Here is a 25,984-nt window from a genome sequence, read left to right on the forward strand (position 1 = left end):
CCCATACAGGATGAGTAACTTCTTCCAGGCCTGTGTTATATGCTTGGCTCTCTGTCTCCTCTCTATGTCCTAAATGTGACTGATGAGCATGCCCAGGCACCTGGCTGTAACAGGTGATGAGGTTCCATCTATGTGTTACTCAAACCCTGTAATGTAGCAGTTTATACTTGACTGTAAAATTGCTCAGGTCAACCCATGTAAAGGTCAATCTCATGACACAACCCTGCCATGTCTCACTGTAGGGAAAAGCCAGTATAATCTCTAGTGTATTTTTTTTGGTGGTATTTTTAAAGCCTTAAATGCTAATCTTAAAAGTGAGGGTGGGGTCAGGAGAGGAGATAATTCATTATGCAAATGTGATGTTTTCAAATACCTTGCCCTGTGTCCCTTTCATAAACAGCACCCCATCAGGGCTGGTGTGTAACTCACCATGGGCAATCCCTGGCATACCTCATGTCTTCAGCAGAGAGAGAGAGGGACCAGAGCGCCTTGCCGAGCCCCGAGCCCGGTAGATATGGTCCCAGTCAGTATGGGTGCATTGACTTCCTTCTGGGAAATCCAAGTCTCACTCATGCCTTGCTTGCTGGGACAGCAGCTCCCATAAAGTTATAATACTTATTTGTACTCAGCTCCCTTGAGAGAGTTTGGAGAACACATTTCATCTTCTGTGTGACCTGAATTTTAATAGTAGAAAAAAACTGGGAGAGGATGCTGAGAGCAGTTTGTATGAATACTCTGAGTACAGTCACTAACCCTGAAGGTAGATGCCCAATATATTATCAAAATTTATAAAAGGAAGAAAGAAAAAGATAAAAACCTCGTAGGGTTCCAGGCACCCATCAAAAAGACCACTCCCAGTGTTGGGGAATGAACATGAGGTTTGAAGTCAGTAGGACCCCTGTTGAGGGCCCTGCCTGATGCTTTGCTGGCTCTTTGAACTTAATCTTCTCATACAGAAAATGTTAATGATGATATATCTACCTCTTGGGTTTGTTATGAGTTAAAATAATTGTTTAAAGCAAGAAATCAATGTCTGGTACAAAATAAACCTTCAGCATTAGTTCTCCTCTCTTTCCCTCACCTGTCAAGGTATCTTTCATATAGGAGGTGCTCAATTTATAATGTGTATAAATTACAATTGAATCACGTGCAGGGCTGACATCTGATTAACCTACCTTACAGTAGAGATAACCAAAACTCAGAGATTTTGGTCGTGTTGCAGCATGGCCAGTTACCTACAATGGAATGAGGAAGGCGGGGGGTCATAGAGATCTGACCCTTCTGCCAGGCTAGGATTGCACTAGGATTGCTGGCCTGCACGCTAATGGGGAAGATGCAGCCTGGCCAGCATGGGTGCAGCCGTGATCCTTCTGAGATTCAACAGCAACACAGAAGGATCCAAGACAAAGTAGTAGGATGTTTCCAAGGGCAGATGAGTGCGGCAGCAGTTGGATGGGATGATGCTCAGATGTCCAGAAAGGCAGGCTTAGGACACCCAGGAGTTGTAGCTCCAGACATTGGGTAAGGGTGCTTGGCAATTCTCTGGGATGAGGTGCTCAGCAGATTCTTGGACAGGGATTCATCAACAGGGACCAAGGCAGAACTTCAGTTATAAGAACGTGAGTAATGGATTAGAACTGTCGTTTATTGGAATGAAGCAGTGCCCTGGGATCAGACAGTGATGCTGTTGAGCCCGAGTCAGCCTCAGGTCAAGATGTGTCTTAGAAAATGAGGCAGAACTGAGTTACAGCTGAAGGTCAGCTGGTCCCTGTCATGGGGAGGGGATGGAATGGGATACAACAGCTGGAAGCCAGGGATCATTGTCTATCTTGAAAGCAGACTCACTACTACTTGGGTAACATTTAGACTCATTTCCAGAGATATCAGCAGACGTTGCTCCAATGTTCTCCAAGTTCTTCAGGGATGACCTAGGTTCTCTGTACTCTCTCCCTTCTCTCTGTCTGTTATCTCTTCCCAGCTTATTTAAACCACTGTGAGTTGACATTTAGCTAAGAAGCTTTATCAGAATTTTAGTGAGAGGAAGGAACTGTTTGTAATGGAAAATAATATTCACTATATTATAGTTGCTTTAATTTGGGTTTAGGCATGATGTTTGTTTTGAAATTTCAATCTCAATAAAAAGATTTTTATGTTTACCAAAAGGGGCATTTATTTATTTATTTATTTATTTATTTTTATTTTATTTTATATTTTTTGGAGACAGTCTCCCCGTCGCCCAGGCTGGAGGGCAGTGGCGCAATCTCGGCTCACTGCAACCTCTGCCTCTCCGGCTCAAGTGATTCTCCCGCCTCAGCCTCCCTCCACGGTAGCTGGGATTACAGGTGTGCACCACCATGCCTGGCTAATTTTTGTATTTTTGTAAAGACAGGGTTTTGCCATGTTGGATAGGCTGGTTTCAAACTCCTGGCCTCAAGTGATCCGCCTGCCTCACCCTCCCTAAGTGCTGGGATTACATGTGTGTGAGCCACAGCACCTGGCGGGACATACATTTAAAATGGTCATGAAGCACCATTTAAGGCTCTGTCTTCTAAGGAACCTTCCCTGTTTCTGTCAATGAGTTCCCTTCATGGACTTACTGCTGCTCTTTTACCACAGGTTCTAGCTCCGCATTCTTCTTTCTTCCTCTCTGTATGTGGTACTTCCCAGCTAGATCAGTAGTTCTCCATGGGGGTGACTTTGCTCCCACCAGCCTCTCCTCCGGGGAACACTAAGCAATGTCTGGAGATATTTTTGGTTGTCACAACTGTGGGAGTGGGGGATTGCTACTGGCATTTAGTGGGTAGGGGCCAGGGATGCTATTAGACATTCTACAGTGTGCAGAACAGCCCCCCACAACAAGGGATTATCCTGTCCAAAGATCAATAGTGCCTCTGTTGAGAAACTCTGAGCTAGATTGTAAGCATATTATGAGCTGATGTATTGTCTTAGGATTCTACTCCCCAGATTCTTGCAAAATAATAATCACCACTAGCGACTAACATTGATCAGATAGATTCTTACCATGTGCCAGGTATTGTTCCAAACCCTTCCTGCATATTTACTCATTTAATCTTTTTCACGAAGAATTGTTGTTATCCCATTTTACTCAAACTGATCATTATGGGAAAATTGTAACATGAGAAAACTGAGACATGAGAGAGTTAAGTAACTTGCCCAAGGTCACACATCTGGTAACAGCTGAAGCTACACATTAGTACTAAGAATAATAGTAGTACCAGTAGAATTTTTATTAAGTCAAGATCTTTGTACATATTGACTCATTTCATCTTTGCCGCCACCCCATGGAATAGATATTCTCTAAATCTATTTCAGATATGCAGAAACTAGGACACAGTAGAACTTTGCTTGTATTTATTAATTTGTGTATTTCTTAGATTAATGTCTGTTTTCCCCACTGCACTGTAATCCAAAGAATGCAAGGACCTTGCTGATCTGGTGGATCTTGTGTTAACCCCACTATTGAGCTCTGGGTCTGCCAATACTACATATGCTAAGTGATTAAGGGAAAAGAGAATGAAGCCTCAGGGTGTTGGATGCCCATGTGTATTAGTCAGGGTTCTCTAGAGGGACAGAACTAATAGGATATAAGCATACATGAAAGGGAGTTTATTAAGGAGAATTGACTCACACTCTCACAAGGTAAAGTCTCACAATAGGCTGTCTGCAAGTTGAGGAGCAAGGAAGCCAGTGGTGGGTCAGTCTGAGACCCACGGCATTCAGTCTGTGGCCAAAGGCCTGAGAGCCCCTGGCAAACCACTCGTGGAAGTCCAAGAGTCCAAAAACTGAAGAACTGGAGTCTGATGTTTGAGGGCAGGAAGCATCCAGCACAGGAGAAAGATGAAGGCCGGAAGACTCAGCAAGTCTGCTCTTCCATCTTCTCCTACCTGCTTTATTCTAGCTGTGCTGGCAGCTCATTTAGATGGTGCCCACCCAGACTGAGGGCAGGTCTGCCTCTCCTAGTCCACTAACTCAAAATGTTAATCTCCTCTGGCAACACCCTCACAGACACACCCAGAAACAATATGTTACCAGCTATCTAGGCATCCTTCAGTCCAATCAAGTTGATACTCTATGTTAACCATCACACCCTGGAAGGACCAGTTGAGGCCTAGCTGTGGCTTGGTCAGTGTGCTGTGTTTTTCTTGCCCTGATGCTTTCCTGTGGCTCTTTCTTTCCACTAGACCTCAAAACTGCCCCATGAGAGGATCTGGTCCTTATCACTATACAGGGTCCCCAAACTAGTGGAAGTTTATTGAGAGTTCTCTGGTTTCTCCTGGGGCTTGTCAAAACAAGGAGAGCATCTCATCTCTAGCAGCTAAAAGCTCATGAGTATGTTAAACCCCAGATTTTCAGGCACCTTCGAAAGCCTTATGACTTGCTCTCAGAGGAGGGAAGGGTTTTCCTGCTGCTGGATACTCACGTCCCTACCTAATGAAATTTGATGACACATGAGGCTAGGTAGAGATGCTTTTTTTTTTTTCTGTCTGATATCTGGATATTTTCAGAACCTAGATAATTTTATCCTATTTATATCAAACATGCAGGTAACTCTAGACTTTTATATCTGTATTATTTCTGGGGAGGTATAATATGATTATGAATGACAGTAATTGACATTACATGCTTTAATTAAATTTCCTTTGCCATGAATCAAAACCTTTTAGTTCAGTCCTACAGTGCTATTTCTAGATTTCTCTTTTACATACTCTAATGCATTAGGCAGTAGGTATGATAAATTCATTTACAAAGTCTGCATCCTATAGATTAAATGAGATAATGTGTGCAAGAGGCTCAGCCTAACAGTTACATAATAGTTATTAATCCAAGAATGTTAGCTAAATTTGCATACTCTGTACCTTTTAGCCATTGGCTCCTTGAAGAATATCGCGCTTCTTAGCTGATCATCATAAAGCCGATGGTTATGGAAAGAGCCCCTTTCTCAAATGATCATGGGTAGCATAGTAATTACATCTCGGGATTCCTCCTTCTAGGGCTTTTAGGGGATCTGTGGAGACTTAGAGTTTTGTCCTTTTCCAAAAGGGTGAAGTACCCCAGATAGTCTCCTGCCACCACCACCCTGCAGGGCTACTCCAGCAGGGTGCAGATGAACTGGTCCCGGCACCTGAGCAATCCATTTAGCCCAGGGCCAGTGCTGCTCATCTCCCTGCCTTATATGCAAGCGGAAACAGGTATACGGTTCCAGGGCCTGCCTCCAGGCAGGGCTTAGCATTAAGCCAACCAAGCAGCAAACCCAAAGGGCCAGAATGACAGTTATTCAAAAATGAGAAAGTTTTCTTCTTTTCCTTAATGCATGCCTAAGATTACACACTTGTGCTTAGAAAAGTGGATGTAAATGCCCTCCTCTCCTGTGGGGAGAGCCTGTCCTATCATAAGAGACAACCTAAACTAGTAGTTAGATCTTCGTGATCTAGTTTAAGTTATCTCACCTGATAGGACAGGCTCTCCCCACAACAACTGAGAAAAAGCTTTGAGAGCACAGCATAGCCACTCTGTGTCCAGTGTGGCCTTGGGGTCACCCAGCTATACCCACAATTTACCTCTGCCTTTGTCAGATCCCCATGACCTTGAGTCTGTGAGTCAGCTAAGAAATTTCAGATCCCCCAGGTGAGACTCTTTTCTCAGTAGCCCCCAGCATTTGAGTACCCAGCCCAGCCTTCACCCCTACCCTGCTCTACAGGTAACTTATACCCCGAATGAGCAGAAACAAGCAGGCACTTCAGATTTCAGGTTGCCAAGAGGCGAGAGGCAGAATCCCGCTTGCTTTGCAGCAGGTCTGTGAGTCTCCAGTGGCATCGTATTAAATTATATAGGCAGCCACTTGTTTGCAACTGACGCACTGAGCTGAGAGTTGTGCCGAGCAGGAGGCATTCTCTTCGGGAAGCATTTGAGAAGATCCTATAGCTTCACAGACCTCCAGTTGGTCTGAAAGCAGAAGGGTAGAAACCACAGGGAGGGGGTCAGCTCTGGGCAGAAGATGCCATGATTGCCATGAAATCCTAGACCATGGGCTGCGGGGCACTTTGCCCTCAAGGTAGGTCAGAGCCTGGACAAAGTTGAACGTGCTGTGGTGGGAGCGATTCTTTGTTGGGGGGGCGCCCTGGCCACCTCCCAGCTCGTCTCTGGGGTTTGAGTTGAGATGGTGAGTGCTCCTCCTCTTGCATTTGAAGGGTTTTTATATCATCCTGACCTGCCTTATTGTGGCTCTGTTGTTAGAGGTAGCTATGGGGGGTAGGTGGGGGTGTCTGATATTTAGAGATAGGAGGGAAGGGGTGAAGATGAACAAAGAAATGAAGGAGTAAAGGACTTGCGGAAGAAAAGCTCTACCTAAGTTTACTGCTTGCTGTTCTGTGCTCCTACATAATGGTAGGATTCTGAAACAATACAAAGAAGCTTTGGGCCTTTGTGAGCTGTGAGCCTGCTACTTGCTTTTCCTAAGACCTGACAGTGAGCTCCACTCCATAGCTGGAGTAGAGAGGGTGTTGTCATTCTGATTAGTGACGGTAATAGGAAAAGTACAAGTATCTTACTGTAAGAGCTCCTAATCAGTGAAGGCTAATAGGCCTTTCCAATTCTCCCACATAGTTTGGAATAAATAGATTAAAACAGAAACTGAGGTGGGTTTTATTGATGTGCACATAAGTTTTTGGCAAGATTTTCCATTCGGCTTCCACCCATAGGTTAAACATGGTTTTGAAAATTCATATGTTTGGGTTGATGGCTGAGCTGAAATGCCTCCCTGTAGATTTTGACAGGTTAAAGGTTACATTGGTTTGGGCTCATTGATTGGGTTCTGAAAACACACATAACTAATAAAGGAATAAAAAGGGTGGCTCTAAGCAACCTTCAGCCACAGTGGAGCCCAAGGGATGGCCATGGTGAGCGAGCCCTCTTGGTTCCCCTGAAGACGTATTGTGGGGGACACAGCATCTCCCTGGGGTCCTTTGTGCTGTCATCACAGATTAGCAGCCCCTTCCTAACGGATGAATGTATAAACCACAAATCCACTCCTTTGCCCCTTCCAGGAAGGCATTTGTATTGAAGGTCACAGCCAGAGAAGACAGTAACTTGGGGGGAAAACAGGAGACTTTGAGGGATCCAGAGGTCACAAGCAACCCCTGGAGGCTCCTCAGCAGAGCTGGTGTTTGCCCTTGGATCCAGGAAGTGGGCGGAGCAGATATGAAGGGAAGAAGGTGGTGAGAGGACCCTGGGCTGCTACTCATAGAAAAGAGCCCTTTCACTGTTTCACCTACATTTCAGTGGAGACCAGTGAAGATGGATATTTTCTCCAATATTGACTAAATAGTATAATTTTTTTCTTTACACAAATTGCCACTTAATGTAATTTGTTGACTTTCCTTAGGGGCTTTGATAGACTTTCATTATGGATTTTGACAGTAAAGTCATTATATATTAAATATAGTAATCTGTGCTTGCTACATTAGTTGAATATTTTTTTCAGATGGACATTATTCTGAGTCTGAAAAGCTTCTTGCTTTGATCTGCCTCCTTATGTTACAAAACAAGCCTGTGTGTCACTTCTGCTTTACCCCCGCAATCCAGTTCTAAAGTATCATTTAAAAAAAAAAAAAAGAAGAAGAACTTCTGACTGTGGAAAACTTCTAACAATTACAAAGGTAGATAGTGTAATACACTACCAATGCACCCAGCAGCCAACAATGATCAATCCATGGCCAATCTTGGCTTCATTCACACTTCCCATCTGACCCTCTGCCCCTGCTGGAAGATTATTTTATTATTTTGAAGTGGTTACCAGATATATCATTTTAGCATATATATTTATAGCTCTTAAAAATAAGGATCCTTTTTAAAAAACACAACTATATTCATGTAAAAAAATTAATAATTCCTTAACATGTTCAGCTATTCAGTCTCATAGTTTTGATTGTTTCATCAGGCATGAGTCACATGCCCAACTTATTATTTATTGTTTTTCTGGTTTGTTAGAATCAAGATTGAAATAAGGCCCATGCACTGCAGCTGGTGGACATCCTGTCATAAAATATATTTATTAAAGAAACCTGTAGAGTTTTCCACAGTCTAGACTTTGCTACTTGTATCTTGATGGTGTCATGTTCCCCTGACCCCTGCATTTCCCAAAAACTGATGGGTAGATATAGGACTGATGGTGGTGTGTCTCTTCAGGGAAGATGGGGAAGCATTACTTCTGGTTGTCTCTCTTTTTGTGATGTTAGGAGCTATTGATGATCATTGCCTAGATAATTAATCCATTAGGGATTTCCAAGTGGTAATACTCTCATTCATTAAACATTTCCTCATTAAGTATTTGACCAGCCAGAGATACATTTCGATTTAGAAAAACAGGATAAATGTTAGATTATTTCCCTTTATTTACCAGTTTTCAAAATGAGTGGGTTTCCTAGCATCCTCCAGAGGTGAGTAGCAATGTGTTATATATTGTTTTTCTAGTGTCATTATTAACTCATGGATTTAAATATTTTTGATGTGTTTTGGTCCATTGCTGATATCCTTATTGATGCTCAAATTTTTCTGTCCTTGGCCATTGGAAGCCTCTTTGATACAACCCTATCTAGTAGAAATCTATTGCTTACTGGTTTCTAGTTCCAGGCTCTTCTCATCTATTTTTTGTTCTATATATTTTTAGATCTAAAATCAGCCATTTCTCCAAGGAGCTCTGATTGCTTTTAGTGGGTAATAGCATTCATATTTATTTAGAGACCACAGTCCAGGTGCTGTGAGAATTGAGCACCATTTTTTTTCTGCTTCTTGCCACCTCTGAAACTTCATCTCAACACAGTTTCCACTATCAGCACCACCACCCATTACAGCCCCCAGGCCATCACCATACCATCTTCATCTTTCCTCAAGTGTCCAGCTTCCAGACTCCATTAACACCTGTAAAATATTCCTTCTCCAGTCTGCCTGGGTACTTTCACCATGCCACCTGTTCCAAAATGTCCTTCAATGTCATGAAGCATTGTGTGGGGCTTTTCTAGTCCCTTTTTCACCTTGCTGTCTCTTTGCATCTGTTTGAAACCCAAGACAAGGAGATAGATGATAATTTCTTAAAGTCTCCTCCAGTTTTGTTTTTGAGCTCTGCTGGCTTGCCAAGTCATTCTTATTCCACTAGGTCATCACTGGGCAGTCCTTCCCTCCCTCCCAGTATGTATGCGTTGTTGGCATGTACTGAGAAAAGGCAGGGAAAGGGTAAACCAAGAGTTAGAGGATGCTTACGAAGGCATGCACTACTGTGCTGGGCATTTCGTATGTGCCATGTCATCTACGCTTCATTATAAACCTGTGAGCTAAGTATCATGATTCCCACTTTAGAGGGGGAACAAGTTAAGTAATAGTCAGAGCTGGGATTAATCCAAGATCTACCTTTCTACAGAGCCCAGGCTAATTCAAACTGTATCATCAGGGTAGTGTACATCCTATGAAGACTTCTGCTTGAATGGATCCATTAGGGAACCTGTTCCCAGCCATCCTACAGACTTGCAAAACTCTGCTTGTATCTTGTGGCTCCCCATTGCTTTCAGGATTAAACTCATACTTGGTATGTTCTGGCTTGTATGGCCCTGACTTAACTCTCTAAGGGCACTCCACAGTTCCATTACCCTCCAGCAAACCTTCCCAAAAATGTTCCCTGTTCTCATGTCTCCAGCCCTTTTGTATGTCTTGTTCCCTCTTCACCTGGTGAACTCCTAATCCCCTTTAAGAAGCAACTGAAGCATGTCCTCCCTCTTGAGGCCCTCCCTGATTTCCACTTTCAGATGACTTAAGTGATATCCCCAGGCTCCCATAGAGTACTATGCTGTACTCTGGGGCTGGTTCTTACTCATCCCTTTTACCCCAGGACACAGCACAGGGCCTGACCTGGGAACATTGGTCAGCAATGCTGTCAAATGCACATTTAAATGAATGAGTCTGTACCAGCTACCCCACACTTGCTCACATGGGTAAAATGTTATCTTCTTTGAAATGGTTTTTATAGTTTCTTATGGCCTTTGCCACTCTATGCTTATATTGTGCGTGTTTATTTTTGTGTACGAGCTAAATTATGCCTAGAAGATGCAACTGGAATGAGGCTCTCATCACATTGCCTTGCCCACAGTCAAGACTGAATAATTATCCATTGAATCGAATCAAATGGAAGGTTGTACAAAAGGAAGCTATAGTGGAAGTGTCAGGCATGCAATCAGCAGAACGTCAGACAGGCAGTTAAAGCATCTTCGATTTACTACAATTTCTTTTAATAGGTTCTCTGTACAGATTTGCTGTCAACATGAATTGTTGGTTTAGGAAAAAAAAATCAGGGTGCTGCAATGGGTCTGTGCTGCACAGTGACTGGCAATGTTTTGCTGTTTCCAATGCAGTAGTCCATGGATTTCCAGTTGCTGACAGGGCTTAGTCATTCATGCTAAAGAGGCCTAAGTTATAAGCAAAAATGCTTCACAGTCAGTGTCCTGAACCCCTCCTCTCAGAACCAGCACTTGCTCACCCTCTCTGCTTCCTCCATTGCTGCCTCAGTTCCTCAGCCTTCCCCATTCCAGCTTCTTTTCTTAAAGCCCAGACCCTCTGATGATTAACGTCCTGGCTCTGGTGTAGAAGGGAGAGCTGTGTATTTGGGCTGGAAGGGGAAGACTGCTCAGGGCCAGCATCAACAGACCACTCATCCATTCAGTAAATATGTATTTAGCATGTGTTGTGTGTCAGGTCCTGGCAGGACAGTGGTGCACAAAGCCTCAGTCCTCTTGGACCACTCAAAATAGTGGGGGGAGACAGGTTGTCCTTCAGATATGCACAATTGCAAACTGTGGTGAGTGAGATAGAAGAGTAGAGATCTGTCCACAAAAGGGTCTGGCACTGCCTTTGCCATGAAGCCCTCCCTGGTCCCCCCTGGCAGTGTGAGGCTCACCTAGGGGTGCTCCTTCACCACTGGAGCTAGACCAGAGTCGGCCCTCAGCCCACTGAGACTGGGGTCATGTGTGACTGTGAGCTCCTGGGGCCAGGGTTCATTCTTTCCTAGAATAGTGTGTGGCATACAGTAGGTACTCAATCATTCTGTAAGACTGGGAGGAAAGGAATGAGTACATTTTCCAAGTCCCCATTCCATCAGATGAAGGGGTCACTGGCTTTCCCCAGTGCTGTGATCACGATTGTATTAACATGACGCACAAGCTCCAAAACTTCAGCCCCGTTCCCAGGAAGGTGTCTCTTCCCAGAAGAGTCGTAAAGCATGAAATAATGAATGGACAGTCCTCGGCGCAGGGCCTGGCCCCAGGAGTTTTCTCAGGACAGTGTCATACCCTACTGAGAGTGAGCTGCCCAGCCAGCATGGCCTGCATTTTCTCAGACCAGACCTGAGCCAGGCTAGGGACAGGACTGACATCCTGATCATCTCAGCAGCATGGGCTTGCCATAGAGTTGGGACTGAGGAAATGCTGTTTTTGCATGGCATTGGCCTAGTGTCATATATGAGGAACAGGATTCTGCAACCTGCTCATTCTTGGTTGCTTCTTCCTTGGAGGAAAAGAGCATGTTCTGTTCCCGGATTTGCTCCTAAAAATATACTAACTCCCCACCAGTTTCCTGTGATTTCTCTCCTGGGGAAAGGGGAGAAAGACTCTGGCCCCCAGTTCTCTGGGTGGGCACAGCAGATGCTTGTGCACCCCACATCCTACCCCCTCTGTGGCAGCCCAGGGTGGCAGCTTCTCACACCTCCCCTTTTCTGTCTCAAGGCTTTGGCTTCTGAAGCCCCCTCAGCCTGCACTCTGCACAGCCTGGAAGTGTGGAGAGAGAGAACTCCCTGGGGGTAACCTCAACTAGTGGGAAAGTCGCCTTGAGACACTTTCTGCAGTTTCTCAGAGAGCCCCAGTAGGGATTAAGCCCCAGTTACCCCCACATGACCAGCTCAGAAACTCACCTTTATTGTCTCTTCTTGGGTCTGTCATACTTTCTTTGTTCTTCTTTCCTTTCCTGGGATTTCTTTCCTGCTTTCAAGCAACTCCAAACTAAGACATTGGAGAAAGGAGACAACTCACTGTTAGGATCATCCTGTTAGGGATCTTTTCAGGGAAGTCCCTGAAGTTTTCCGGATGTTGGCTTCCTTACCCATGAAAGAGAAAGGATATAGCCTGTGCCAGCTGGGCATGGTGGCTTGAGCCTGTAATCCCAGCATTTTTGGGCCCAGGGGTTCGAGACCAGCCTGGGCAACATGGTGAAACCCTGTCTCCACAACAAAAAATACAAAAATTAGCTGGGCATGGTGGAATATGCCTATAGTCCCAGCTACTCAGGAGGTTAAGGTGGGAAGATCACTTAAGCCCAGGAGGTCAAGGCTGCAGTGAGCTGTGATCATATTACTGCACGCCAGCTTGGGTAACAGAGAGAGACCCTGTCTCAAAAAAAAAAGAAAAAGAGAAGAAAGAAAAAAGAAGAAGAAAGAAAATAGCGTGTGCCCTAACTCTCATATAGAACTGTGCACGAGTTCCCAGAGGCCCCACATTCCTTGCTGGTCTGCCTGTGAGCACCCACTCACCCTTCATAGCTGGGAAATGACCCAACTGTCCCCTTCCAAAAACTGGAAACTACCTAAACGTTCAACAGTTACGGAATGGTTATGTACGGTGTGTACCTTCAATACAGATTGAGAAGCCACTTAAAGTGATATTTTTATGGCATATAGAAATATAACAAGATTATATGACATGAAAAAAGCAGGCTATAGAACCCAGTATGTTTTGAAACTATATATAAAACATAGACACACTTGTGAGAAAATATAACATGTAACAGAGTTTAAGCAGTAGGATTATTTTCTCTTTTTAAAAATATTTTCCAAGTTATCTTAAAGAGCATGTTTTTCTTTTATAGTCAGAAAAAAAATCAACCATTATTTAAAACAAACAAAAACACTGCTCAAATATCACCTCCTTTTTAATCTGTCCTTGCAGGGGCTGAGCCTCCATAGAATGACCAGGCAACCCCTAGGGCTTAGCTTATGCAAGATTATTCTCCATTAAATTTTCTCCTGGCTTTACGTGGGAATGCAGAAGTGACTGTGTTCCCATGCCTTCACAACAAATGTGGTTTGCAAAAATGGTGTGATATGTATTTTCAGGCCTTTTTTAGAGATATGCATTGTGTTTGGGGAGCACTTCCTCTGCCTAACCTAATGGACGAAACATTTTCGTATAGAAAGCAAATGTTGCTACATAAAACTGGGACAACATATAGCATAGTGTTAAGGATGTGAGAGCTCTGCAGCCAGCTGGCTCAGGATCAAACCTTGGCTCCACTTTCTAGCTGTGTGGCCTTGTTCAGATTATATAACCTCTCTGGGCCTCATTTTCCTCATCTGTAAAATGAGGATAATAATAGTACCTACTCATTGGATTGTTGCAAAGATTATATGAGTTAATACATGTAAAAAACCAAGTGTTATATCGATGCACCTGATACAAGGGACATACAATGTGTGTGCCCTCACCATCATCATCATCGATGACAGGAGAGAGTTTCCACAAACAGTGCTCTTCAGGGTAAACCACCGACTCTTCAGACAAACCCAGAATTAACTCACCAGCAAATCGATCCAACCAGAACACAGCATGTCTGTTTGCTTACTAGCCCCACTGAGAGCTGTTTCCAAGGTTACCTCTTAGGAATTCAGTGGACTAGTAGTTGATGTGGCACTTTTTAAGCAGCACTGAGCCACTGCAAAAATAAATGACTGGCTGTTCAGGATTCATAAATAAGAAGGATATAGACATGAAGGTCAAAGAGCCACAGAGAATGAGATGAAGAGAGGAAACTTAACTCAGGTGATGCATGAAGACGAAGGCCAGTGAGATGACAAGGCTTCACCAGGTGCCTTTGCTTAGGGTTCTGCTGACAGCCTGTGGCTCCAAAACGCTCATCTATTGCTGCCTCAACCCTGGAAGAGTACGCTGCTCTCAGGACTTGGTTCAGGACTGTGTGAGGGCCCTCATATTGCATTGCAGTTTGCGGGATGCAGCGTCCCCCCCTCTCACATTAAAACATCCTCCAGGTACTTAATAAGTGCTTATCAGGTACCTGGCACTGTGCTGGGCTCCGAGGGCCAACAAGGTGGCTGCCCTTTAGGAACCAACTAGCTCTGGAAGGCAGGTCCTTGTCTTTGTATTCATAGCTCCTGACCCATCTCCTAGCACCAGAGATGCCCATACATGCTTATGAATCTGTGAGATAAGTAATGCCAGCTCCACCCTGGCTGTCCTTGGTTTAGGTGGCTTATTGTATCTACATTTCCTATGTAATTAGCCAGCTTACCAGGTCAAGTTCTATGTTCTCCCCAAGGCCGTTACAAATGCTCAGGGCATGTGGACACACACAGATGCACACCCACGCACAAAGGCATGGCACTTCTTCTCTAAGTAGGAGCAGACTTTTAAACCAAGGAAATGGTTCTCATTCTCAATCTAAAAAGATAACAGGGTATGGCATGGCAAAGGACAAAGAACAGTGATGAATATTGTTCCCTGGGCCCTGTATGCCTGTTTTGTGTTTAAATTTAACTCCCATGGCTTACATGAGACCTCAAATAATGTTTCAACTCAAATTGTTTCGACTGCCTGAAGCCATCCAATGGTGCTTCCATCTCCTTCCATGCCTACGAGCAATTGGAGGACAGCCGCATCACATGGTTGGCTAAACAGTGAATAAGTGCCTAGGGGCCATTTGCTTGGCAGACTTCCAACTCTGCAGAGCCTATGAAACAGACCAAAACAAAGATGGGTGGAAACTGTAGGACTTGGGACTATAGATCCTGCTGTCAGCTCCCATCACAACACCGCCTCTAAGTTCTCTTTTTTGGCTGTGCTCCAAGGGCCATATGTCAACCTCGGTGACTAGACTAGCTGTGTCAAGTACAAGAGAGTGTGGTGAGACCCCAACATTCTGCTGAGGCCACCAAGAGCTGGTTCCCATGTTTACCTGAAGCCACATATTATAACCACTGAAACAAGTATCCTTTTAGTTAAATGTAGTAAAACTTCTCTTGTTTAAGGGACTGGGTTGGGGGGTGCAGATTTTGCATTTTCTTCTGGCAATCTCACATGGGAAAAAAGTGAACCCATATGTTGTAGAGAAGGGTATTAAGAACAGAACTTGTTCCCTTAACAGAAAAAGCTATTGTAGGCAGAATAATCACTCTCCCAAAGCCATCCATGCCCTAATCCCTAGGATCTGTAAATATGTTACTTTATGTGGCAAAGGGGAATTTCAGTTGCTAATCAGCTGATCCTAAAATAGGGAGATTGGCCTGGATTATTCAGGTGGGCTTAATAAAATCACAGGAAACTTAAAAGTAGAAGAGGAGATTTAGAGTATGCAGTGAGAGGGATTTGAGCCTTGCCCCCACTGCTGGCTTTGAGATGGAGGAAAGGGACCACAGACCAAGGAATGAGGGCAGCCTCCAGATGCTAGAAAAGGAAAGAAAATGGATTACCCGCTAAGCCAGTAGAAAGGAACACAGCCCTGCTGACACTTTGACTTTAGCCCAGTGAGACCCATGTTGGTCTTCTAACTTACAGGTCTGCAAGGATAATACATTTGTATTGTGTTATGCCGCAAAGTTTGTGATTTGCTACTACAGCAATAGAGAACTAATACAAAAGCCCATGGTATAAAGACCTCCGTAGGTGACCATGGATAGATGCAATTCCAGAGAAAAGTCATTGAAAAGACCACCGAACTTTCAGTGACACTTGTACTAGTGAGACAGACCCCTTTTTAATAAAGTAGAAATGACCCTGCCAGGCATCCCTAAGTTAGGAGGAAGCTCTGTCTTCTCCTAAATTTTCTCATCTCAGCCCTGGAAACAACCAACAACTTTGAGTTCTCAGGTGCTGTAGTCATCTTTGGGCTTTGCCTCCTGTCCAAATGCTTCTACAGAGCTTAGTCAGATAAGTTACTACTATCTTCTTGGTGATGGGAGGAAACATTCGTGTCTCATAAAATCTTGGATTTCCACCCCCAACCCTTCATGAACACTATATATTTTTAGGATAGTTTTAGATCTACCAAAAAAAAAAATTGCAAAGGGAGTACAGAGTTTTCGTATATCCCACGCCCACTTTTTTTTCTTATTAACATCTTAAATTAGTATGGTACAATTCTTAAAATTAATGGACAGTAGTGATATATTATTACTAACTTACAGTTAGTGATATATTACTTTTGTTATATTATTGATATTACTATATTTTGTCTAAAGCCATAGTTTATTCAGATTTCTTTAGCTTGTACTTAACATACTCTATCTGTTCCACATTACGTTTTGTCTTCATGTCTCCTTAGGCTTCTCTTGGCTGTGACAGTTTCTCAGACTTGGTTTTTTTATGACTTTGACAGTTTTGAGGAGTACTGGTCAAGTATTTTTTAGGATGCCCTCCTGTTAGAATTGACATTTTTTCATTCTTAGGCTATAGTTATGGGTTTCTGGAAGGAAGGTCACAGAGGTAAAGTGCCATTTTCATCACATCATATCAAGGGTACATAACATCAACATGGTTTATGACTGTGGATATTGGTCTTGTTTTCCTGGCTGAGGTGGTGTTTGTCACATTTCTCCACTGTAAAGCCTAACTTTTTTCCTCCTTCCTATACAGTACTCTTTCAAAGGAAGTCACTAGACGCAGCCCACACATAAAGAGTGGGGAGTTATGCTCCATTCTTTCAGAACAGAGGATCTATGAAAATTTGAAATTCTGCACAGATTAGTTTCTTCTCTTCCATGTGTTAATTTATTCAATTATTTATATCACTATGGATTCACAGACATTTATTTTATCTGTGGGCTTCAGATTGTTATAATACAATTTATATGATAATCCACTTTATTATAATCCAATACTACTTTATTTTGTTATTCAAATGGTTGCAACTTTGGCCAGCTCTTTCAATCAGCTCCTGTGAGCCTCTGACATCCCTCCTTTTTTTTTTTTTTTTCCTGAGTACTTCCTTCCTTTCTGGCTCCAAGCTTATCTCATATATTTTCTCTGCAGTCCTAGAATCAGCCATTTTTCCAAGGAGCCCTGGTTACTTTTATTGGAGAACAGGACTAGAAACGAACATCTGGGCTCTATGTACATTCATTGCTACTGGAGTACTGATGCATCTAGGCCCTCTCAGTTAACACAGTAAGGAAATATATGTGTGTGCACTAATTTATAGAAATACTTAGAGAGATATACACATATCTTGTAACCATCTGTATCTATATTAAGTTAAACATAAGTTTTTACTGATGTCTCTAACTCCAATGCATTACCACATGGACCATTCTAGCTTTCTCCCCTTGTTTATCTATAACCTCCCACTCCAGTGAGAAAACTGGCTCCTACCATCCACCATGCATTTACTTAATTGTTCAATTCCAGCATACACATATAGCAGTATCAGCACTGTTAACCCATACCCTATGGGAAACAACTTTATCAACTAGAGTGCCGTGCCTAAATGCAGTTCCTTTTGCCTTTGGTCTTATAGAGTCATCTCATTTCCAGAGATACTTAAGTTCGTACCATTCCCATCACCCCTTTCATTGAGGTCATCTCATACATTTGTAATACAGTTAGATTCTATTGTCACAATCTGCATTCCATCCTTGGGTCCTCTAACCTTCTAAATGATTTTTTAATTTGCTTACATTAAGGTTTACTCCTTGTTAGGGTTTGAATATTTGTCGCCTCTGAAACTCATGTTCAAACTTAATCCCCAATGTGGCAGTATTGAAAGGTGGGGCCTTTAAGAGGTGATTGACTCATGAGCACTCTACCTGGATTAATCCAGTAGTCCCCAACCTTTTTGGCATCACGGACCAATTTCATGGAAGACAGTTTTTTCCATGGACATGGGGTTGGGTCGGGGTTAGTTTCGGGATGAAACTGTTCCACCTCAGATCATTAGGCATTAAATTCTCATAAGGAGCACACAACCTAGATCACTTGCATGCACAATTCACAATAGGGTTTGCGCTCCTATGAGAATCTAAGCCACTGATCTGACAGGAGGCAGAGCTCAGGTAGTAATACTCACCTACTGCTCAGCTCCTGCTGTACAGCCTAGTTCCTAACAGGCCATGGACCAGTACTGGTCCACGTTCTAGTTCATATCCTGGGGGTTGGGGATGCCTGGATTAATCCATTAATGGATTAATGAGTTATGGAATAGGACTGGTGGCTTTATAAGAAGAGGAAGAGAGATGTGAGCTGGCACACTCAGCCCCTTTGCCATGTGCTGCCTCAGGACCCTGCAGAGAGTCCCCACCAGCACAAAGGCCCTCACTAGATGTGGCCCTGCAACCTGGGACATCTTAGCCTCCATAACTGTAAGAAATATTTTTTTTCTTTATAAGTTACCCAGTTTCAGACATTCTGTTATAAGCAACAGAAAATGGACTAAGACATTTCTTATACTATAAATATCATGTGTCTGCCATTACAGTATCATACAGAACACTTTCACTGCCTTAAAAATCTTCTGTACTTTGCCTATTCAGCATTTTCCCCCATTTATCTTTTTACTCTCTCTAGTTTCGCCTTTTCCAGAATGTCGTATAATTAGAATTGTATAGCATGTAGCCTTTTTAGACCAACTTGTCTAGGAATATGCATTTAAGGTTCTTTCATGTCTCTTCATGGCTTTATAGCTCATTTCCTTTTATCACTAAATAATAATTTTCATATAGATGTACTACAGTTTATCTACTCACCTATTAGAGGATATCTTGGTTGCTTGCAGTTTTGGGTGATTATGAATAAAGCTGCTATAAATATTCACATTCAGGGTTTTGTGTGAACATGTTTTCAAATCAGTTGGGTAAATACCTAGGAGCTTGACTGCTGGATTATATGGTAAAATTATAGTTTTGTAAGAAAACACCAAAGTGGCTCTTACTATTTTGCATTCCTACCAGCAATAAATGAAAGTTCCTGTTGCTCCACACCCCTTGCCAGTGTTTAGTGTTGTCAGTTTTTTTTGGATTATAGCCATTCTAGTTGATGTCTAGTGATATCTCATTGGTGTTTTGTCATTCCCTAATCACAAAGGATAATGAACACCCTCTCATATGCCTCTTTGCTATATGTACATCTTCTCTGGTGATATGCTTATTCAGATCTTTTGCCCATTTTGTAGTTGAGTCAGACTTGCATACAAGTCTTATCAGATAGGTATTTTGCAAATATTTTCTCTCAGTCTATGCCTTGTCTTTTCATTCTCTTAACAGTATCTTTTGTAGAGTAGAAATATTTATTTATTTAGTTGTTTTTTTTTTTTTGAGACGGAGTCTTGCTCTGTTGCCCAGGCTGGAGTGCAGTGGCCTGATCTCAGCTCACTGCAACCTCTGCCTCTTGAGTTCAAGCAATTCTTCTGTCTCAGCCTCCCAAGTAGCTGGGACTACAGGCATGCGCCACCATGCCTGGCTAATTTTTGTATTTTTAGTGAGACGGGGTTTCACTATGTTGGCCAGGCTGGTCTCAAACTCCTGACCTTGTGATCCGCCCGCCTCGGCCACCCAGAGTGCTGAGATTACAGGCATAAGCCACCACGCCCGGCCTGTAGAGTAGAAGTATTAATAAAGCCCAACTCACCAAGTTTTCTTTCATTGATTATCCTTTTGGTGTTGTATCTAAAAACTCATTATCCAACCGTAGGTCACACAGATTTTCTGTTTTTTTTTTCTAGAAGTTTTATAGTATTGTGTTTTAACTTAGGTCTGTGATCATTTTAACAATTGATGATTGTATGTTTTTAGTAGTCTTGAAGTATGGTAGTGTTCGTCCTCCAACTTCGTTATTCTTCCATATTTTGTTGGCTACTCTAGGTCTCTCGCCTTTTTGTGTAAACTTTAGAATCAGTTTGTCAATATCCACAAAATAGCTTTCTGTGATTTTGACTGAGATTAACATTGAATCTATAGATGAAGTTGGAAAGAATTGAAATCTTAAGTTTTCCAGTCCATGAACACTGAATATCTCTTCCTTTATTTAGATCATCTGGGTTTTATAATCTTCTGCATATCAGAAGATATAGTGTGCCCATTATTTTAGATTTATACCCAAGTATTGCATTTTTTGTGCTACTATAAATGATACTGTGTTTTTAATTTTAAATTTCAACCATTCAGTGCTAGTATATAGGAAGCAATTGATTTTTGTAAATTAGCCTTGTATCCTGCAACCTTGCCAGAATTGCTTATTCTAGGAATTTTAGGGGTGAGGAGCATTGGTGTTTTGTTTGTTTGTTTTATGGTTGATTCTTTAGAAATATCACCGGCAAACAAAGACAATTTCTTCCTTCCCAATCTGTATACCTTTTATTTTCTTCTCTTGTGTTATTGTACTAAGATTTCTAGTATAATTTTGAATAGGCATGGTGAGAGGAGACATCCTTGACTTGTTCCCATTTTTAGGGGCAAAGCATCCAATTTCTCAACATAATGTATGATGTTAGGCTGTAGGGTTTAATTTTTTTGTTGTTGTTGTTGTAGATGTTCTTTCAGATTGATTTTTCACATAGAGAAACATTGCTGGGACTTGCTGACCAGACAATATAGTTGTCTTTAGCTGCCAAGAGCTTCTGTATAGGCCCTGGAACTATTTAGAAATTAAGGGAGCTTTAATAACTTTCAAGGGGACTAGAAATTAATAATCAGAGTTCTGATAAGGATCTAGAGCAGCCTAAACATCTCACTGGGGCCCACTGGCCCTGAAGGAGAAAGAACATCCTGGTTCTTTTCTTGCCCTCTCTCAGAATGGTTTTTTGCAAGTACAGATACAGTGGGCGTGGTTCAGGGAATGTGGAGAATAGATGAATTCAAGACCCTAACACTCTGGAACCCCGCCCTACTTATCTGCTATTCCATTCCTCACCCCCTTCCCCTGTGCACATTTATATTCCCTGTGCTCAGACATAATCACTACTCCCTCAACACCTGCCCTGTTTTTCCACATCTTGCTATTTTTACACAAGATGTGCCTTTTGTAGTGCACCTGTGTTGGTTGAAAATTTACATTTTCAAGGTCCAGTTCAAATGTTCCCTTTTTAGGACTCCTTCCCAGTCTTCTCCATCCAAAGTTAGCCTTGTTCTACATGAGCCCTGTGGCTCTCTCCTTACATCTCTGTCACCTCTGAGTGTAGCACCGTGTGCATTGCATCTGCGGGCCTACCTTTCCCACCACCTTGAGCAGACTGAGGCAGGCCTACGTCAAATCCCCAAACCTGTATCACCAGTGCTGGCATGGGGACTGCTTCAGGGGAGGCACCCAGTAATGCTTATTGGTTGAATGAATGAAATTACTGGCCTTGCATATTTAGAGACCTCTGTCTATTCTCTCCATGTTTGCTTTTCCCCTGGTATTCTTTGAGTCCCTAGATGTATTCCGGAGTAAAAGAGATGCCATAGCATTTCTTTTCTTCATGAACAAAAATCAGGGGGAAATTACCATTCATTGCAGACCTACTCTATTCACCCATTGACTTTAGAATCCTGGTATCCCCATGTTATCAGTTAGGGAGTTTGGGCTCTGAGGCCTAGAAAAATACCTCTTCTAATTGGCTCAAACAGTAAGGGAATTTATTGTATCTCCTATAACAAGACATATGAGCTTGAGTGGTTCCAGGGGTTGTGGCTTAATAGTATCAACAAGAACCCCATCTTTCTATATTTTTTCTCTGCCAACCTCAACACACTAGCTTCTTCCTTGAGCTTACTCACTGCATGGCTACAAAATGGCTGCAACAAATCCAGGTATAATATCCTGACACAATAATGATTAGAAGGAGAAGGTTGCCTTTTCTTCCTTGGGCCTTTCTTTAGAATGAAGGAAAGTGATTCCAGAAGCTTCTAGAAATTTTCTGTCACAGTTCATTGACCAGAATTGACATGATGATGCTTGAGCCAACCACTGCTACAGGGATCAAGATCATCATGATTCGTTTAAACCAATAGCGGCTTTACCTGGAGGCATAGGAGGGAGGGGTGTATACTGGAACAAAATGAGGGTTCTTTCAGCAGGGAAAACGGATAAATGTTGGGGAGCAAACCACCAATGTCAGCTATACCCTTGTTATGTACAGAATTGTTTTATACCGAAGTTCAAGGAGGTTAACCTACTTACATAAGGTTCCACAGCTGATAAAAATAGAAGTAGGGTACAAATCCACACGCCAAAGCCCATCCAGGTACTTTCTTCTGCTCATGTGGCCTCAGAGTCAGACCACATATCCCTGGAAACAAAAGCCCCTTTTCTCACGGTGAGCACTTCAGGGGTTCAGGCAATCTCCCTGCTTTCCCTACCCCGACCTTCAGCTGGGCATTTGATCTGTTTATTAAGTTATGACTTAATGGCGCTGCGAGACATTCGGACCCAGTTTTAGATTGTTAGAGGAGGTTCAGTGGATAAACATCAGATTCCCATTCTGTGCCGAGAAAATTCAGTTGTAGCTCTTTCTCTTTCAGTGCGTGAGGATTGGCAAGGGGCTTCTGCTGGGTCCTGCTTTGGTTTAATAGAAATGAAACCTCCAAAGCAGGAGGGCTGTTTTGGGAAAGTGGCCACTAATGGGGCCCCATGGGGCAAGGGCCAGGCCTGCACTGGGCAGTTTGCATATTCACTTTTACAAACAGTTGGCTCAGAGTCAGCAGTTAATGGAATGGGAATGATGTTCCTGTACCAAATCGTTTCCTGAAAAAAACATTTCCAATTGCAAACATATCTTGGCCTTTCTTCTTGGATTTGTTATGTCTCTGTGAGTGAATTAAAGAGGCAGGGCAGAGGGGAATGTTTCTGACTGGGGATTCTTCATCTGAAAACATTTTTAACAATGATCTACACAGAAAAAGAGATCCTGTTCAGACCCACCTTTAGGAGTCCTGGCTTCAAATATTGCGTTTCTAGTCACACTTTAGAGATGTTTCAATACCTCTCCATTTACAAATTGGCTCACTTTGGCTATACAACAAGTCTTGGGACAGGTGTGACTTTACTTACCTTATAAAATGTAAGCTGGAAATGCTGCCCCAGAAATGTGCGTGCATGCGTACGCACATGTGCGCACACACAGTCAGGCTAAAATGGAAATGTATTTTGTTTTTCTGGGAAAAAGGTAAAATCCTTTGCATCCCATTCTCTGCTTTGGCAAATTCTGCCTCAACTCATAACCTGTGCAGTTGAAGGGTGGTCTTGACAGTTTGGATTATGTATTCAGCAAATATTTCTTGAGTGCTTACAATGCTTGAGGTGTTGTTTTAAGTAATAATAATAGTTGCATGTATTTACCTAGCTCTTACCAGCTGCCAGGCATGCTTCTGGGTACTTTGCATATATTAACTCATTTAGTCTTCTCAGCAACCCTTGGAGGTCGGCAATATTGCTGTCACTCCCATTTTGCAGGTGAGGAATCTAAGGCATGAGAGGTTGATGAACTTGCCCAAGGCCACAGAGCTGGTGAGTGGTAGAGTCTGGATATGAACGTAGGCAGCTTGGCTTCTAACCACTGTGCCCTCTGGCCTCATGGGGGATCTAATAGTGAACAAAAGAGAAATAGTGCCAGTCCTTACAAAACTTACATTCTGGTGAGGGAGAGAGTTAACAGCCATATAAGTTTTTATTTCAGATCATGATGAGAAAATAGATCATGATGAGAAAATAAAACATGAGAGGGAGGTGGGAGGGCGCTAATCAGAGTCTCATAGAATAAAACCTCAGCTCCTACCTATGACCTGAGTATGATGGGAAGTCACAAGAAAGCTTGAAGTGGGAGAATGTATGATCCTATTTACATTTTTGTAGAACATTCTCGCTGCACTGTGGGAAGTAGGTGAGAGTGGGGGAAATGCAAGCAAAGCAGTAGACCAGTTAGAAGGTGGTTCTGATAGGCCAGGCAAAAGATAACGGTGGCTCAAGTCAGGATGATAGAGCAGGGAGATGGTGAGAAGTGTTTGGAATTGGGTCCTGGTTTGGAGGCGGAGCCCACAATACTTGCCAGTGTTTTGGACAGATGCAAAAGGTGAGGAAAATGAGAACTTAAGAGTGATTCCTCGGAGCTTGGCGTGAACCATGGTGTAAACAGTGGTGCCATCTACTGAAGAGGATAAGAATAAAGAACAGGTTCATTTTAGTGCTGGTATGGTGGGTATGAGGGTGTTGAGAATCACAAGTTCTGTTTGGATGTGTACATTTGAGATCTCTATTAGTAGACCTAAGAGGAGACATTGAATAAGTGATTAGATTCATAAGCTTGGAGCTCCAGGCTGGAGATTTAAATGTGGACATGGACATTAGTTGAATGGGATGACCTAGGACATTATCCACTTACTCTTTTAAAAATTTTATTTTTTAACTTTAAGTTCAGGGGTACATGTTTGTTACATAGGCAAACTTGTGTCCTGGGGGCTTGTTGTATGGATTATTTTCCCATCAACTATAGACTGGATAAAGAAAATGTGGTACATATACACCATGGAACACTATGCAGCCATGAATAAAGAAAGGATCATGTAATTTGCAGCGACGTGGATGGAGCTGGAGGCCATTATCCTTAGCAAACTAACAGGAGCAGAAAACCAAATATGGCATGTCCTCACTTAAATCATGAGAACATACTTGATGATCTTGTGATGGAACCTTTCTACATCCATGCTGTCTGGTGTTGTAGGTACCAGCCACCTGTGGCCATTGAGTACTTGAAATGTGGTTGGTGCAGCTACGGAGCGGAATTTTTAATTCACTGAAATTTAAATAGCTCAAGTGGCTAGTAGCTACTGTATTGGACAGTGCCGATCAGTGTAGCTACAGGAGAGAAAGTCCCAGGCAGGAGCAAGTTCCTTCATTGGCCAGTAAGCCTAGCCTTGCAGCCACATTTAAACATGACTTTATTTCCACTGCTCACTCCTTGCGTAGCAATGCTTGTTAACAAAGTAATGAAAATTGTGCTTCTTTGTGAGAAATAGCCTGAGAAAGAAAGAAAACTGGTAGTTCTAGGGGAGATATTAGAAGAAACTATAGAATTTTAAGGAAACAGTTGTGCTTAGCTGGAAAACAAACACAATCTGTACCTACAGAATCATTTAAGCCAGGGATGTCCAATCTTTTGGCTTCCCTGGGCCACATTGGAAGGAGGAGGATTGTCTTAGGCCACACATAAAATACACTAAACACTAATGATAGCTGATGAGCTATTAAAAATCTCCAGATAATGTCATAATGTTTTAAGAAAGTTTATGAATTTGTGTTGGGCTGCATTCAAAGCCATCCTGGACCACATTGCAGCCCGTGAGCTGTGGGTTGGACAAGCTTGATTTAAGCTTTGAAGGTACCCCTTCTGTGTTTCTGTCATGTTTTATGGAGAATTCTATGAAATAGTCGGTGTCTGTGAATGTGGAGATCAAGGTGGTGACTGGCTGGTACCCTATGTGAATGTCAAAGACCTGCTGCAAAGGTACTAAATACCAGCCTCGCCATGCAAGTTGTGTCTCTTAGGGCGTAGAGAGTGTTTCACTCCCTTTGTTTCTCAGTCTCCTTCCAGTCCAACTGCAGCTATCAGTGAGTGTATTGAGGTGAAAGAACTCTTTGTAAGTGGCTGCCTTGTGCTTAGGATTTCTTGCAAGTCTATGCTGGCAATTGGTGAGGCCAGAGTCAATAAAAAAAATAAAATGGAAAGATGGGACGCTGCTTTTATTAAGGTTGATTGCAGCTGCTGTATTAGCTCTTTAAGAACCTCTTGGTGACCAACGCCTTCTGAGAAAATGGCCTTTCTGTGCTTAATTGGCAAAAAGCAAGGGGATTTAAGTCACTGCTTTTAGGAGGGGTAATCCAAGGTCAGCACTCACCAAACGTCTGTCACACAACTGGTTTTGTGGGAGGAATTCTTTTGTACTAAGGCTCCATGTGGGGGC

The 25,984-nt window shown here is 42.7% G+C and overlaps 1 protein-coding gene across 2 annotated transcripts in view, besides 1 other annotated feature; it reads left to right on the forward strand.

Annotated features, from left to right (window-relative positions):
• The window catches only part of PARVA (parvin alpha), a 158,921-nt gene that overhangs the window by 70,523 nt on the left and 62,414 nt on the right, over nucleotides 1-25,984 (forward strand). The window lies entirely within an intron of this gene.
• Nucleotides 5,614-6,115: an enhancer, noted in NCBI's record as "H3K4me1 hESC enhancer chr11:12474119-12474620 (GRCh37/hg19 assembly coordinates)". NCBI's record gives its function as "activates a minimal SCP1, AML or CMV promoter by ChIP-STARR-seq in primed H9 embryonic stem cells {active_cell/tissue: H9 hESC(primed)}" and the evidence as "EXISTENCE:reporter gene assay evidence [ECO:0000049][PMID:30033119]".

The sequence above is a fragment of the Homo sapiens genome, chromosome 11 (genome assembly GCF_000001405.40).
Source record: "Homo sapiens chromosome 11, GRCh38.p14 Primary Assembly".
In the NCBI taxonomy this organism is placed as follows: Eukaryota; Metazoa; Chordata; class Mammalia; order Primates; family Hominidae; genus Homo; species Homo sapiens.